At 48.5% G+C, this 15,341-nt stretch overlaps 1 protein-coding gene across 9 annotated transcripts in view, besides 6 other annotated features; it reads right to left on the reverse strand.

The window, feature by feature from the left end:
* The window catches only part of PI4KA (phosphatidylinositol 4-kinase alpha), a 151,121-nt gene that overhangs the window by 31,244 nt on the left and 104,536 nt on the right, over nt 1–15,341 (reverse strand). For 8 of the 9 annotated variants that reach the window (NM_001362863.2, XM_005261635.2, NM_058004.4 and 5 more), the window contains 9 exons: nt 14,176–14,246; nt 13,969–14,093; nt 12,740–12,821; nt 12,359–12,442; nt 10,971–11,060; nt 8,649–8,768; nt 5,694–5,786; nt 3,674–3,830; nt 3,294–3,421 (listed from right to left, as the gene is read on the reverse strand). In NM_001362863.2, the coding sequence (NP_001349792.1) occupies nt 3,294–3,421; nt 3,674–3,830; nt 5,694–5,786; nt 8,649–8,768; nt 10,971–11,060; nt 12,359–12,442; nt 12,740–12,821; nt 13,969–14,093; nt 14,176–14,246 (950 nt within the window). The remainder of the gene's footprint in view (nt 1–3,293; nt 3,422–3,673; nt 3,831–5,693; nt 5,787–8,648; nt 8,769–10,970; nt 11,061–12,358; nt 12,443–12,739; nt 12,822–13,968; nt 14,094–14,175; nt 14,247–15,341) is intronic. The other variant, NM_001362862.2, reaches the window with a different exon arrangement.
* Nucleotides 6,369–6,418: a silencer, noted in NCBI's record as "silent region_13499". NCBI's record gives its function as "represses an Ori minimal core promoter by ATAC-STARR-seq in GM12878 lymphoblastoid cells {active_cell/tissue: GM12878}" and the evidence as "EXISTENCE:reporter gene assay evidence [ECO:0000049][PMID:35858748]".
* Nucleotides 9,630–9,679: an enhancer, noted in NCBI's record as "active region_18684". NCBI's record gives its function as "activates an Ori minimal core promoter by ATAC-STARR-seq in GM12878 lymphoblastoid cells {active_cell/tissue: GM12878}" and the evidence as "EXISTENCE:reporter gene assay evidence [ECO:0000049][PMID:35858748]".
* Nucleotides 9,690–9,869: an enhancer, noted in NCBI's record as "active region_18685". NCBI's record gives its function as "activates an Ori minimal core promoter by ATAC-STARR-seq in GM12878 lymphoblastoid cells {active_cell/tissue: GM12878}" and the evidence as "EXISTENCE:reporter gene assay evidence [ECO:0000049][PMID:35858748]".
* Nucleotides 9,940–10,299: an enhancer, noted in NCBI's record as "active region_18686". NCBI's record gives its function as "activates an Ori minimal core promoter by ATAC-STARR-seq in GM12878 lymphoblastoid cells {active_cell/tissue: GM12878}" and the evidence as "EXISTENCE:reporter gene assay evidence [ECO:0000049][PMID:35858748]".
* Nucleotides 11,392–11,511: an enhancer, noted in NCBI's record as "active region_18687". NCBI's record gives its function as "activates an Ori minimal core promoter by ATAC-STARR-seq in GM12878 lymphoblastoid cells {active_cell/tissue: GM12878}" and the evidence as "EXISTENCE:reporter gene assay evidence [ECO:0000049][PMID:35858748]".
* Nucleotides 12,533–13,330: an enhancer, noted in NCBI's record as "H3K27ac-H3K4me1 hESC enhancer chr22:21105755-21106552 (GRCh37/hg19 assembly coordinates)". NCBI's record gives its function as "activates a minimal SCP1, AML or CMV promoter by ChIP-STARR-seq in naive H9 embryonic stem cells {active_cell/tissue: H9 hESC(naive)}" and the evidence as "EXISTENCE:reporter gene assay evidence [ECO:0000049][PMID:30033119]".

Raw genomic sequence — 15,341 nt, forward strand, 5'->3', positions numbered from 1 at the left:
GCTCACGCCTGTAATCCCAGCACTTGGGGAGGCCGAGGCAGGCGGATCACAAGGTCAGGAGATCGAGACCATCCTGGCTAACAAAGTCAGGAGACTCAGTCACAAAAAAAAAAAAAAAAAAAAGCAACTGGCTGGGCGCAGTGGCTCACGCCTAAAATCCCAACACTTTGGGAGGCCGAGGCGGGCGGATCACAAGGTCAGGAGATCGAGACCATCCTGGCTAACACAGTGAAACCCCGTCTCTACTAAAAAATACAAAAAATTAGCCGGGCGTGGTGGCAGGCGCCTGTAGTCTCAGCTACTCGGGAGGCTGAGACAGGAGAATGGCGTGAACCCGGGAGGCGGAGTGAGCCAAGATCGGGCCACTGCACTCCAGCCTGGGTGACAGAGCGAGACTCCATCTCAAAAAAAAAAAACAAAAAAAAGCAACAACAAAAAAAGTCCCAGCTACTGGGTCAGGAGGCCGAGGCAGCAGAATCACTTGAGCTCAGGAATTTGACGTCAGCCTGGGCAACATAGCAAGACTGTCTTCAGGAAAAAAAAAAAAACAAAAGAAAAAAAATAAAGACCTCCTTCTCTCTGGGAAAATATACAGCAGTCCTCCTCAACTGTCAGTTTTATTTAAATGTACAATGTCCAGTATAGAAACAAAAACTTTCAAACATTGAAGAAAAAAGATAAAAAGAAACTGACCCAAGATGACTCAAATACAAGAACAGACCAGATAACGATATAAAAATAATTACAATAAATATGCTCAAAGATTTATAAGAAATAATGGAAAGAATGCATGAAGGTAAGAGAATCTCAGCAGCAGAAAATGCAAACTATAAAAAAGAATTAAATGGCTGGGCGTGGTGGCTCATGCCTGTAATCCCAGCACTTTGGGAGGCTGAGGCAGGTGCATCACCTGCGGTCAGGAGTCCAAGACCAGCCTGGCCAACATGGTGAAACCCTGTCTGTACAAAAACACAAAAATTAGCCAGGCATGATGGCTGGTGCCTGTAATCCCACTTACTTGGGAGGCTGAGGTGGGAGAATCACTTGAACCCACGAGGCGGAGGTTGCAGTGAGCCAAGATTGTGCCACTGCACTCCTGCCTGGGCAACAGAGTGAGACCCCATCTCAAAAAAAAAAAAAAAAAAAAAAAAAGAATTAACTAGAAATCCTAGATCTGGAATTGTTTCTTTTTCTTATTTTTAAATTAAATATTTATTTTTTGTTTTGTTTTCTAGACCTGAGAATTGTATCTGAAATAAAAAATATACAAGATGGTTTTACAGCAGAATGAATAAAGCAGAAGAAAAGAACAGTGAACTGGTATACAGGTTAAAAAAAAAATTAACCAAATGAAAGAGTGAGAAAAACCCTGAAAAACTGAAAAAGACTACAGAGAATGTCGATGATCTATGGGACAATACCAAGTCACTAATATATGTGTACCTGGAATCCAAAAAGGAGAAGAGAGAGAGAATGAAGTAAAAAAAAATTAAAAAAATATTGACCTTAAGAGCCTAGGAAGTAAAAAAAAAAAAGAAAAAGAAATGACAAAGAAATACTGACCTCAAGATTTCCAAGTTTGATGAAAATCCTAAATCCCTGAAATTAAGAAGCTCAATGAATTCCAACAGGATAAATACAATGAAATTCACACACAGTCAAACAACTAAAAATGAAAGATAAGGAGAAACATCCAACAAGTAGTCAAAAGAAAAACAATAACATATACAGTCATCCTTGGTATCCTCAGGAGAACTGGTTCCAGGATGTGGAACCCATGGATATGGAGGGCCGGCTGTACTGAGAAACAAAAAGACTGTTGACTTCTCTCCAGAAACAATGCAAGCTACTAGACAATAGAAGATAATATCTGAAATGCTAAAAACAATAAAACAAAAAACTATCAACCTAGAATCCTGGGCCTAGAAAAAATAATCCATATGCATCAAAGATGAAGGTGAACTAAGATGAGAGAATTTATTTCCAGCAGACCTGCATTACTGGAACTGTTAAAGAAAATTACTTGGCAGAGGAGATCACAGGAAGACTGTAAAAGTGTGAGTGATGAAAAACATTTGGATAAATTATAATGCTGTAACAAAGCCTTGTCTTAATTTCTTTGAAAGACTTTTGATTTTTTTGAACAGAAACAACATTATAAGGTCTAATGCATATAGTAGTAAAATATGAAAACAGGACACAAGGAATTAGAGGGAGAAATTGGGTGTCATAATGGCAGTGGGTATCCACAGTGGCAATGGTATACAGCTGTCTCTGCAGAATCCTCTCCCTGGCAAGAACTATAACTGATGTGGCCACTCCAGTTGTCATTTACTGACAGCTCACTAGGATGCAGGTGCTCTTGTAATGATGTCCACCATGCAGGTGAGGAGCCCCGCCCAGGAATCAGAGCCCTGCAGGCTGAAGCGTGACTTCCACAGGCCCTTCTGCATATCTTTGATGGGAGCAGGCTGGTCAGGCTGAGAACCCAGCACTCCCCTGACTTCACAGGTGTCCCCCTGACTAGACAACCTCCCCCAGGCGCCCACTGGACCAAAATGTTTCCTAACAGCGCTCAATGGTGTGATTGATACAAACCCCACGAGGTTATAAAATAGCAGGCAAATGTGAGATATTATCATCACTGCCACCACCACCAGCCCGGAACATTTTAATTACATTTTTGGAAATATTCCAATTTTCCTGAGGGAAGAAGAAAATCAAAATCCCCCTTTTTGACCACTCATTTCAACTAATCCTAAGAAATACAGAAAGAAAACATGTCAAATTCCCTGCTACCCTGACAGTTAACAGAATCTTTGAAAAATAAAATTGTTCTTAAGCGTTTATCTAATCAGCTGAAACGTGAGTATAAACTTCCTTGTGGGCACCCCCTGCAGTAGCAACTCCAGAAATACGGATGCAGGGAAAGGGGGCTGATCCCAAGATTAGGTCAAGAAAAACATTCCCGTGGACAAACACAACTGCTCCCAATCAAATTCAAAGTTAACAGGTGTTCAAAAAGCTGGATTTCCAATTTCAGTAGAGAAATGGCTCCCCCTACCGAGGTTTTGGGAGATAACGGCTTCTAGGCACCAGTGGGATGCTGTTAACATATATTCTATTTTCTGTGACTGTCAGGTATAATAATAGAATCTGTAAGGAGACTGAGGCTTGAGAAGGTGAGGGGCTTGCCCAGTGTCTCCATGCTTGGTGGTGGCGGCACCAGGGAAGGCTCTTCCCGTCTGTTATCCCATCCCATCCTCACTGCCAACCCGAGGTCAGGGTCCTACCGGCACTTCCACTCCATCCTTGCCAGCCAGCAGCCACTCCCAGCAGGCCAGGGCCGTCTCCATGCCATGCTCATTGAACATCCGGAGGGGACCCCAGCACAGATGATGAAGGAGCTGCGGGTCACAATCTGGAACCAAACACACGTCAGTCAGAGGCCTCCAACAACAGCTGAACCCCAAAACAGCTTCCCTGGGCCAACAAGAGTTGACCAGCTGGGGCCAGTGATGGCCTTTTATTGACTTTCCACTCATGAGAGATACTCCTCTACTGGGGGAGCTCCTGCTCTTTCTCCGGCCAGTACTCCAGCTGGCTATGGGTCATCAAGGCCAGCATTCATTTAGAAACGAGCCCAGAATTCCACAGTGCTTCAGTGAGTTACCTTTACTGCTAATGAGCATTGCGGTCAGCTTGAACATGGCCTGCGTGTAGTGCTGAGGATGACTGCGGTCTAAAGCTGAATGTAGATCCTGGACCATCATTTTGTTCAGGTCAGACATCTGGCCTGTGGTGCCTGAGAACCGAATCATTCCATACACCTGCAAAAACATTCTCATCAGCAACTAAGCATATAATCCAGGCAATGTGGGTAAGGTTCTGGAAGCCACCAGACCACACTTGTGGTGGCACTGGTGGGTGCCTCGCTGCCCCAAAGTGGAGCTCATGCATGCAGAGAGACAGGCTCATTTCAATGATGCTACCACTGATCACAGCTTTTTTTTTTTTTAAAGAACAGCTCCTCTAGAAATGCATGTTGGCAGTGCCACCACTGCAGATGTTCCCCAAGGGTGGGAACCTTGTCCCTCATCATTGTACCCAGCAGTGAGCCCGGGGTCTGACCCATGGTGGGACTGCATGAATGTGAGCTGGATAAATACATTTCCTCAAACTCAATTAATGACTCAAACAACAATATCAGCCTCATTATTATTTTTTGAGAGAGGGAGTCTCGCTCTGATGCTCAGGTTGGAGTGCAGTGGCGTGATCTCGACTCAGTGCAACCTCCGCCTCCTGGGTTCAAGTGATCCTCCCACCTCAGCCTCCCAAGTAGCTGGATTACAGGCATGCGCCACCACGCCTGGCTAATTTTTCTATTTTAGTAGAGACAGGGTTTCACCATGTTGGCCAGGCTGGTCTTGAACTCCTGACCTCAAATAATCCGCCCACCTTGGCCTCCCTAAGTGCTGGGATTACAGGCGTGAGCGGCCACACCCAGCCCTCCTTACTATTATTAATAATTTTTTCTTTGAGACAGAGTCTTGCTCTGTTGCCCAGGCTGGAGTGCAGTGGTGCGATCATAGTTCACTGCATCCTCGAACTCCTGGGCTCAGGTGATCCTCCTGTCTCAGCCTCCCAAAGTGCTGGGATTACTGGCGTGAGCCACTGTGCTTGGCCAACCTATCTATTTTTAAAGACAAATATAACTTTTTTTTCCAGAGAGAAGAACATACAAGTGACAGAGTGCTAAGAAGGAGTGAACTCCCACTCAGACCAGGCCACTGATAGACTTTCAGAGTCACCAGGGAGCTTAGAAATGGCATAGACTAGGCTGGGCGCGGTGGCTCACGCCTGTAATCCCAGCAGTTTGGGAGGCCGAGGCGGGCAGATCATGAGGTCAGGAGATCAAGACCGTCCTGGCTAACACAGTGAAACCCCGTCTCCACTAAAAATACAAAAAATTAGCCGGGCGTGGTGGTGGGTGCCTGTAGTCCCAGCTACTCGGGAGGCTGAGGCAGGAGAATGGCGTGAACCCAGGAGGCAGAGCTTGCAGTGAGCCAAGATTGTGCCACTGCACTCCAGCCTGGGCAACAGAACGAGACTCTGTCTCAAAAACAAAAACAAAAACAAACAAACAAAAAGAAATGGTATAGATTAGCTTCTGAGTTTATGGAGCAGGAAATGGAGGCCCACAGATGTGATGGCACTGGTGAGGCTGGAATAAACTGTGGTGTGGTGGGTGAAAGCCCACGATGTGGAGTTGGAAGATGTGGTTCCAGACCCCACTCCACTTGTGCGACTTTGGCAAGTTACTTAATCTTGGGAACCTCCGTTTATCTATAAAACTGGAATAATAATACATACATCTTACCGAGTGCCCAAGAGCCTATGGCATGTAAGTGTTTGTTACTGCTGTAAAAAAAAGCCAAAAAAATTAAAAACCTTCATTCAGTGTAGCCAAAGTGTACACAGAGTTACCCTCTTGTGGAAAAAACAAGTAACTGGTCATTAACACTCTGGAATGTGCCAAGAATCCTCCTAAAATGTGCTCTTTAAATCCTCCTAAAATATGTTAATTCCACATCACCGGGACGCTTTGTTCATTTTCCACTAGGAAGCGGCCAACAGGCCTCAAAACAAGAGGACACGTTAAAGGCCCTAGGGCGCAAGGACAAGAGAAGCACCTCGCCCGCGTAGCGGTTGCGCAGATTCAGGGATGCCATGAAGTTGGAGTAGTCTTTCTTCACACAGGCCGGGCGCTCGCTCAGCTGAGTTGCCTACAGACAGATAACCATTATTGTAGACTATGGCAGCACTATCCTTTCCTCGTGTTTACCATGGCTAAGCCTAAACCCAATGAAGCAGTCACACTCGGGTCTGGGGGTTACTATTAATAAAAATCTTCACTGCTGGCAAGTTAATAAAGCAAAATATTTTAGAATACCCAGCAGTTTGATATGTTCCATAAGAAATTAAAAAAAAAAGTCTCTGGAAGGCAGTTTCTGCTACTGGTAAATAGGCCTTTGCAAGAAAAAGAATCACTAGATTGTGAGAGCAATGTCACCTGTGATGGAAACGCCATGAAAGCATTCACAGCCGTCTCCTTGAGAGTTGCGTGTGCAGCTTATAAATGTCACTTACAGACCGTAAAGGGGCTGAAGGGGAGAGCCAAGGCCAGCAGGCTCTTAAACATCTGCTGGCTGCTCTTCAGTCTAATGGGAAGAGACAGAAAAGGGTACACCTTGAATACAAAGGCAACCCACAGAATGGGAGAAAAATATTTGAAAACTACCGCCCACCCACTCCACCCCTCCAGCCACTCTCTCTGCTTCAGCCTCAGCCTCCCAGCCCCAGGGCCTCAGTGACCTGGCTTCCTAACCCAGGCTGGCTGCTGTGCCACACCTTTCAGTTCCTGTTCATCCACGGTCACTGCAGAGTACAGCATGCATTGAAAAGGACCTCCTTTCGCATTTCCCTTTAGCATCAGTACTAATGGGGAAAGTGAGCTTCTCAACTGTTTTGAGTTTAGAGGGATTTTTTTTTGAGGGGACATGGTGTGGAGAAAGAGGACCAGGAGAAGAAAATACAGATGTTGGGGAACATCAAAATATAAACAAGAACAAAAATACATGATTTCTCTCATGAAATTATTAAACTGGTTTATTTAAAAAAATAAATTACGTGAAACTGCTTTACATTTTCTGGAAACAATGCGGTCTTTGGCACCAAGCAGGACTGAGTTAGAGCTTGGCTCTGATACTAATCAGCTGTGAGACCTTGGGAAGTCAATGTCTCTGAGCCTCAATGTGCTCATCTGTAAAGTGGGCATAACCCTCTCACAATGTTGTTACACGTTCAACGTAATGACACACACAATGTCCTGGCATGGCAAACAGCACCTGGTGGGCAGTGCAGGCCGGCTCCCTCCCTTCCACCATCACTCCTCACTGCCCAATGCGATCTCGGCTCACTGCAGCCTCCACCTCCCTGGTTCAAGTGATTCTCCTGCCTCAGCCTCCCGAGTAGCTGGGATTACAGGTGCATGTCACCACGCCTGGCTAATTTTTGTATTTTTACTAGAGATGGGGTTTCATCAAAAAAAAAAAAAAAAAAAAGAATTTTTTTTTTTTTTTTTTTGAGATGGAGTCTTGCTCTGTTGCCCAGGCTGGAGTGCAGTGGCGGGATCTCGGCTCACTGCAAGCTCCGCCTCCCGGGTTCACACCATTCTCCTGCCTCAGCCTCCCAAGTAGCTGGGACTACAGGCGCCTGCCACCATGCCCGGCTAATTTTTTGTATTTTTAGTAGAGACGGGGTTTCACCGTGTTGGCCAGGATGGTCTCGATCCACTGACCTCGTGATCCGCCCGCCTTGGCCTCCCAAAGTGCTGGGATTACAGGCATGAGCCACCGTGCCTGGCCCCAGAATTAATTTTTAAAAATTAAAAAAAATAACTTAGAGAAAACCTAACTTACATCAAATTTTCTGGGGAAAAAGAACAAAATATTTTAGGCAAAACAGATCTTTCACAAGTCAGCTGGCTAGAGTCTAGAAAAGGCTTACAAATGAGAACACATATTCTATTTTATGTAATAAAGCTTTGCTCCTACCACCCCCAAAAAGGAAAAGGCTTATGACTATCATAAACACTTACAGTCTATGAGTTCCGCCTCTGGCCTCTGTGGCCACCCAGTGGCAGAGACGTCCAGGTCAGGGCACTGATACCTGGTGCCCCGTCAGAGTAGGAGGCCCAGGGCGGGTGGCCCTGCAGGTGCAGGCTGGACCCAGCTCAACCATGTCTGCTAGACTGGTGTCTTTAGAGATAGTGCAGTGACCTCGAGGAGAGTGCCCTGATAGCAAAATGAGGCGAGAAGACACCAGCATTCTCTGGCACATCCTCAGGCCCCACAAAAGCCAGAGGGCACTCAGGCCCCTCTCTCCCGCCGGTATCCCAAGGGAGGCCTGTCACCCTTCCTCCTGGGTACACAGCCTCTGCACCTCCACATATCCCATCCCATGCTCCATTTGGAGAGAGTTGGGAAGCACACATGGCCAGGCTCTAGATTCACATTAACCAACAAAATCTCTGACCAGCCCCAGTCACATGGCCAGGTGGAACTGCCTGCTTTAATCCTTTTTAACTCTTAGCTCTAATTTAACTCAGAAAGTATTGCTGTGTGAACCCTCTGTCCTCTAGATTAATCTCTAGCAGAACAAGAAGCTGAAGGCATTCATGTGCGGTTCAGCACCTGCAGAAAACAGAACTGTTCAGGAGTCCAGTATACGCTCCAGATAAGTGCAACTGTGGCATCGCGCTGCCCGTGTCAGGCGGAGCTCTGTTTCCATCCTCTCAGATGGGGACATTCAAATCAAAATCTGATCACTGACATATCAAGCACTGATCCCCATAAATCCATAAATTTAAAAAAAAAAAAGCACAATAAGGAAACACTCATTTCAATGGCCACCTCTTCTTTGGGCCAAGGTGCGGCTTGCACCACTACCATTGTCAACAGACATCCACAGCACCCTGCATGTACTCATGTGCGTCATGAAAAGCGACAGCCGAGCTCTAAGCCTTCCCCTGCACTGTGGCTCCTATGGTCTAAGGGGTCACTGCTCTTCAGAAGGCTCGCACATACCCCAAGAGTTGTGTTCTGCTTGTTGTAGCCAGCAAAGTGAAGGATGCTCTCAGTGGCCATGGCCAGCCCCGTGTGCTGGGACAGTCCCGATACCCAGTTCTGATGTTTGTTCAGATATTCCTGAAATAGGAAAAACACATGGGGTTTCAGTTATTTATCTGATTTTTTTAGAGGCAGGGTCTCGCTCTGTCACCCAGGCTGGAGTGTGGTGGCACGATCATGGCTCATTGCAGCCTCGACCTCTTAGACTCAAGCCATCCTCCCGCCTCAGCTTCCCAAGTAGCTGGGACTATAGGGGCACGCCACTATGCCTGGCTAATTTTGCAATTTTTTTTGTAGAGATGGTGTCTCACTATATTGCTCAGGTTGGCTTGAATTCCTGGGCTCAAGTGATCCTCCCGCCTCAGCATCCCAAAATGTCAGGATTACAGGCATGAGCCACTGTGCCTGGCCTTGCTATTTCATTTAAAGGGGAAAATAAAACTTTATAAATTAAGGTGTGGGCAAATGGACCAAACACTGGGTTTCTGTCCTGGGTCTGCCCCTCCCTAACTAGCTGTGGGACTGTCAGTAAGTCAAAGCCCCTCTATGACCAGCTACTGCTCATTTGACTGAGGACAAGGCCAATTCCCCGAGCGGCTGTCATGCAGTCACTGCGGTGTTGCACCGTCAATGGGAGAGGGCCATTTATTCTTTCAGCACATCCTTGCTGAGCATCTGCTGTGGTAGCCACCAGGCAAATAAGCTACAAAGCCTTGGCCTTGCGGTCAACAGGCAGGCTGTGTGGTGTGGAGCCTCGGTTCTCTACTGCAGCATACCAGCAGCCTGGTGTGGGTGAACTGGACAGCAGGAACGAAGAACAACACCTGTGTCCACCTGGCCACCCAGTGGGAGAAGGGTGCTGGGCAATGGGATACCTGGCAGAGCCCAGGGGTGTGAGGGAGGCCTCCTGCTCTGGGGACCACAGGGGGCTCAGCCTGCAGGAGTACCAAGGACAAGGGTCTCGAGGGTGGGGGCAAGCCTGGAACAGATGCAGGCCCTGTTTACAGGCGTGAACCAACTAATTCCCTTAAGAAGAAATGTACAGGAGTATATACATGCAGAATTGTCTCAATGGTTTTGGGGGACTCCTGGAGCTCCAGAAACCCATCCTTGGACACTATGACGATGAAGAGTGACTAATAATCAAGTTTAAAAGGGAAGTACACTGACCAGATACCCTATTAAAACCAGACTACTCTGGTGGGTGGAGGAGAGGGCAGATTCGGGGAAGGCTGAGGCTGGGCACGGAGGGTGGGGAATAAGCACACTGCAGGGGAAGTGAAAGGGCAGGCCTGGGGCACGCCAAGGGGACACCTGGTGGAAAAATCAAGACCGCTTCAAGCCTTTTCATTTTCCATTTCCTTCTTAGGCCAGACCTGCGTGAGAAAGTAAAAAGCTCTATCAGCTGCTTTTTTTGTCCACTTAAACTTTCTAGGCATTAGAGGGGGCCTCCCCTCTTCAGACGACAGACAGCCTTGGGACCTGAGGCCCTTTTGCTGTAAATGAACAAAGGGAAATAGTTTCTTGCCACTGCGTTTCCACACAGCTCTCAGGGCTCTTGGAGCTGGCTGCTCTATCCTTCCTGGACTCCACAACCAGAAACACTTTTGAGCCTGTTTCATCTTTAAAGTGCTGCCAGGGTAAACCTCACAAGAGTTCCTCTCAGCACACCCACTCTCTGCTAACACAGATTCCTTCCAGAGGTATTTTTCTCATCTTTGATTCCTTTTAAGGCAATTCTTTCCTCTCACACCCTGTGGCATTACATGGTTTACTTCGTGGCCATCTGAGTTTCCAAACCAGTGTTTTTGTCTGAAAGACTCCCATGCACCTACATGTGCAGCTTATGTGGAGCTTTAATGGGACACAAGTCCCCAACTCTGCCTCTGCTCCACCAGCCTTGGTCAGGCCCCTGCCTTTGGGCACAGGTGCCAGCAATGCACTTGGCACTTAGAGATGCTGCCATCTGGCAGCCTCCCACATCCACCACACAAGCCCTTCCTCTCGTGAGCAGCCCCCAAGTCTTGCCACAGACCTGGCACCTCACCTGGTGTGAGCCGTCAGATGCCCTCCTTGTGCCCTGGCCAGCACTGGCCCCACAGGCGCTCCTAACACACAGAGCAGCCTCTGAGGCATCTATTATTCTCAGGCCCTAGACTGATGCTTCCAGTCTCCATTCACACTAGTGCTATTTGGATTTTGAGTTCTTCATGTCTCTGTAAAGCTTTTTTGGGAGTTTGAAGGAGCTTATGGCAATTGCCTTTTGATGGTTTCAAGTACCTGCAGGTGGGACTTGGTGACGGTAGGTGCCCACTTCATGGCCTCCTGGAGGATCATCCCACAGCGTGCAGCGAAGTCCTTCACAATGCTCTGGAAGAGGGTGAAGCTGCTTCTCAACAACCCGAGGTCAGTTCATCTGAGCTGCCGTAGTGACTGTCATGGGCTGAACTATGTCTCCCCAAATCCCTATGCTGCGCCTTAACTGGTACCAGTACCTCAGAGTGGAACTCATTTGGAGATAGGGCTTTAAAGAGGTGATTCAATTAAAAGGCTGATAGGGTAGGTCCTGATCCAATCTGGCCAGTATCCTTCCTTACGTGTGTGCAGAGGAAATCTGGACACACAGAAATACTGGGGCAGGGAGGAGGGTGTGCACAGAGGGAAGAACACGTAAAGACACAGGGAGAAGGCTGCCATTCACAAGCCAAGGAGAGAGGTCTCCACAGAAACCAGCTCTGCCAACACTTTGATTTTACACTTCGGCCCTCAGAACTGTAAGACAATCAATGTCTGTCAAGACCTTTCAAGCTGCCCAGTCTATTGTCTTTTGCTACAGAAGCCCAAGAGACTAGCACAGCCACTAAGTTTGAACCTCAAGGCCCCTGGGGCCAGGAAGCCCACACACACTATGATCTGTATGTAATTCCTGCACAAGGTTTGTGGCAGAATCTACAAGAATAACATGTCACAGGGACACTGTGCAACTTGTGTCCTGGGTCTGGGACTGGATGGAAGGGCAGGCTCTGCGTGGCAAAATCCTCTTCGGTGCCACACCACTCTGTGGGAAACTCCCCATTGACAGCTGGTCTGGCAGAGGTCCAGAGGTAGGACATGACTCAGCCCAGGCTGAAGGAGCTGTGAGCTGAGTTGCAGTCTTGCCACAGTGAGGGCTCTGAGACCGAGTTGGGGAGAGGAGAGACCCAGTACATCCTCCTCTTTTGGAGTGATTTATTCTGCCAGTTTCCCCATTGGATAGCACAAGTCAAAGGCATGATCCCCTATTACCACAATAACAAAATGTCAGTGCACCTCAGAGAAGTGAAGTCCACCTGAAAATCATGCTTGTGCGACGCAGACTCGAGAGGCTATAAACTGGCTGGTAGCTGAAGACCTCTTTGGCAGCTAAACCGAGAACACAGCTGAGTCAACATGGCTGAGGTGGGGGAGCTGGGCTTGGAAGACAGAGCGACCTGGGGGCAGCCAGCTCCCCTTGCACTCGGTGGAGCCTGGCAATGGCTTGGTCTCCTCACTGGGGGATGGGGCCAGCACCACCCACACCTCAAATTGCTGGGGACTGGGTGAGCTCATGCAGGTTGACCATCTCGTGGAAATACTCAGGGAATTGTGGTAAAGATGGCCCTTAGTGCAGGGGATCGTGTCGGGCCTACCTCACGGGCTTCGTACGTGTCAGGAACCGTGATCCGGTAGGGGGCGTCGGGGATGTCATAGTAAGGCTGATCCTTGTGAATATCCTGCAAGCACAGCAAGACTCCCTCTTCCAAACTGCCTTCCCCAAGTTGCCACTAGCAACCACATGGGCCACCCCTACCCACCACCTGTCTGTCTGTGACAGGCCTCCATACTTGATGCAACTTATTGCAAAACACCAGGTGGATTTGGGCCCCCTCACCCCCAACTCGACACCTGTAGCATTAATTATGTTCAGGCTTATTGTCAGAGAAGCATGCCACAACACAGGGCGGACAGGGCCGGCGGGGTGGTGGTAGAGCGGGTGGTGTTTGGGCCCTAGGTCTCCTGGGGACACTCACAGCGCTCAGTGACAGTGACAGGGTCTGCAGGATGTCCAGCATGGTCTTCAGCACAGTCCCGCTCCAGAGCAAGTGGGGAAACCTGCACCAAGAGCCAGCTCTCAGGACCAAGAGCCAAACCTCCAAGGAAGGTCTGCTTCTAGGAGCCCCCTCAGCTGCCAGCCCGAGCCCATATCTGCTTCAGGCCAGCTGAAGGAGGAGGTCGGGAGGCCCTTGCAGCAGGATGCCTGGCCTCCTCAGGCTCATTGCAGTAAGGTGAGCAACGCCTGGTCAGAAAGGCTCCCCAGGCCCCTGCCAGCCCCACTTCTTAGGGCCAGACAAACCTGACACCAACTGCCTTGGTTATGCACTGGCCAGGACACCCCTCACTTTCCAAAGCAATCCTCTTAGTTTCTGACCAGGGTTCTCCATTATTTCTCACATAATGGAGAAAACAACAGTATCTACCTGACACCCTGGGGTAAGACAGGCCATGGGCTCCGATGGCCCCAGGGCTGAAGGAGAGGTGTCTCTGCACAGCTGTGACCCACCAGTGGCCCACTGCTCAGGAAGCCCAGCTCAGACACACGCCACGTGTGTGCTGGACTCGTTCTCGTGACCCCTGGCTGGCTCCTGACCACCTGTGGTGGCGCTGCTGCCTGGACCAGGCACACAGTATCTGCAACAGGCTCCAGAACCACTGGATACCTCTGGGGAGCTGCAGGCAGCCTCCATGTGGGTGTTTTGCTGCCTCTGGCCTTCTCACCTTGGAGAAGCTGGTCCAGCCCACCTGTGAGAGTTCTCATCAGTGTGGGGACATGTCCCAACAGGGTCTGTTTTGGCTCCCAGAACAAAGAGTATACAGCACAGAAGGGTCTGTGTGGGCTTTTGTTCCTGAGAAGCCCAAAGATACTGATCCTACCAGGGGACCTCTGGCTGGGCCCTGGGCTAGAAGATGGTGCACCAGGTCATGCCAGAGTGGGTGGGACTGAGAGACACAGGGATGTGGCACCCAGCAAATGTGCTGTAAGTAACATCGATAGCTCAGAATGAACAGAAGTTTCTGCACCAAAATTCAGACTCTGCAGGAAACTCACAGACATTGGAGGGAGGCTGCATCACCCTTAGGAGTTTTCATTCTGACTCCATTTTTTCCTAGATTAATAATATAAGGATGATTTTTCCCAGCATTTGAAATCACAGAAGTTTATATACATACACACAAAACATTAGCAGGAAAATGAGCTTACTTATCCACCAGACCAGATAGATACTTGTCTGCCACCCTCCTTATCCTCTTGTGGATGTGGTTGAAGTTCACCAACAGGAACTGAGCGTGCCGCTCCAGCTCCTCCTCGTTCTCCTTGGTCTTGGCCTAGAGATGCAAAAGAAACAGGTACCGCAGTGCCCCAGATGCCTCCAGCAGACAGACACGCATTCATGCTGGAGAGGCTTACTTTATCCGCCATCATGTTCAGGAAGGCATCGAATACTTTGTCCGCGACTGCAATCACACACTGCATCATCCCTGAAACGAGAAGGTTTCCATGGATAAGGTGCAGCAACAGAGAGAGAATCCTAGCAACTTTCAATCATTTTCTTTTGAAATGATTTTAGACTTACAGAGAGTGGCAAAGACAGCACAGAGCTCCCATATACCCTTCACCTAGCTTCCCTGGATTTTAACATCTGCAGTAACCAGGCTGATGTGTCAAAACTGAGTCAGATATTGATATAATCCTATTACCTAAACTTCAGACTTCGTCTGGATTTCCCAGGTCTCCCACACATGCCCCGCTTCTGTTCCAGCATCCAACCCAGGACACCAGGTGGCATTTAATCTGTGTCTCCTACTCCTGTCCAATATGTGGTGACTCCTCAGTCTGTCAATGTCTTTTGTGACTTTGACACTTTTGAAGAACAGTTATTTTGTTGAATGTCCCCTAATTTAGGTTTGTCTGATGCTTGTCCATGATAAGACTAGGGTTACAGGATTTGAGGGAGAACTCCATAGAGTGGATGTGCCCTTTCTTTTTTCTTTCTCTTTTTTTTGAGATTGAATCTCGTTCTGTTGCCCAGGCTGGAGTGTGGTGGCGCGATCTTGGCTCACTGCAACCTCCGCCTCCTGGGTTCACGCCATTCTCCTGCCTCAGCCTCCTGAGCAGCTGAGACTACAGGTGCCCACCACCACGCCCGGCTAATTTTTTGTATTTTTAGTAGAGACAGGGTTTCACCACGTTGGCCAGGATGGTCTTGATCTCCTGACATCGTGATCCGCCCGCCTCGGCCTCCCAAAGTGCTGGGATTACAGGCGTGAGCCACCGTGTCCGGCCTGGATGTGCTCTTTCTGCATCACGTAAGTGGTATGTGATAACAGTATCTCTTATTACTGGTGAAGCTAACCTTGATCCCTTGGTTTGAGTTACCGTTTTTCCCTTTTTCTATTTTTTTTGAGACAGGGTCTCACTTTGTTGCCCAGTCTGGAGTGCAATGGTGAGATCATAGCTCAGCTGCAACCTTGATCTCCCAGGCTCAAGGGATCCTCCCACCTCAGCCTCCCTGGTGGCTGGGATTACAGATGTACAACACCATGCTCAGCTAATTGATTATTTTTTGTAGAGAC

Source organism: Homo sapiens, chromosome 22, assembly GCF_000001405.40.
Source record: "Homo sapiens chromosome 22, GRCh38.p14 Primary Assembly".
NCBI classification, from domain to species: domain Eukaryota; kingdom Metazoa; phylum Chordata; class Mammalia; order Primates; family Hominidae; genus Homo; species Homo sapiens.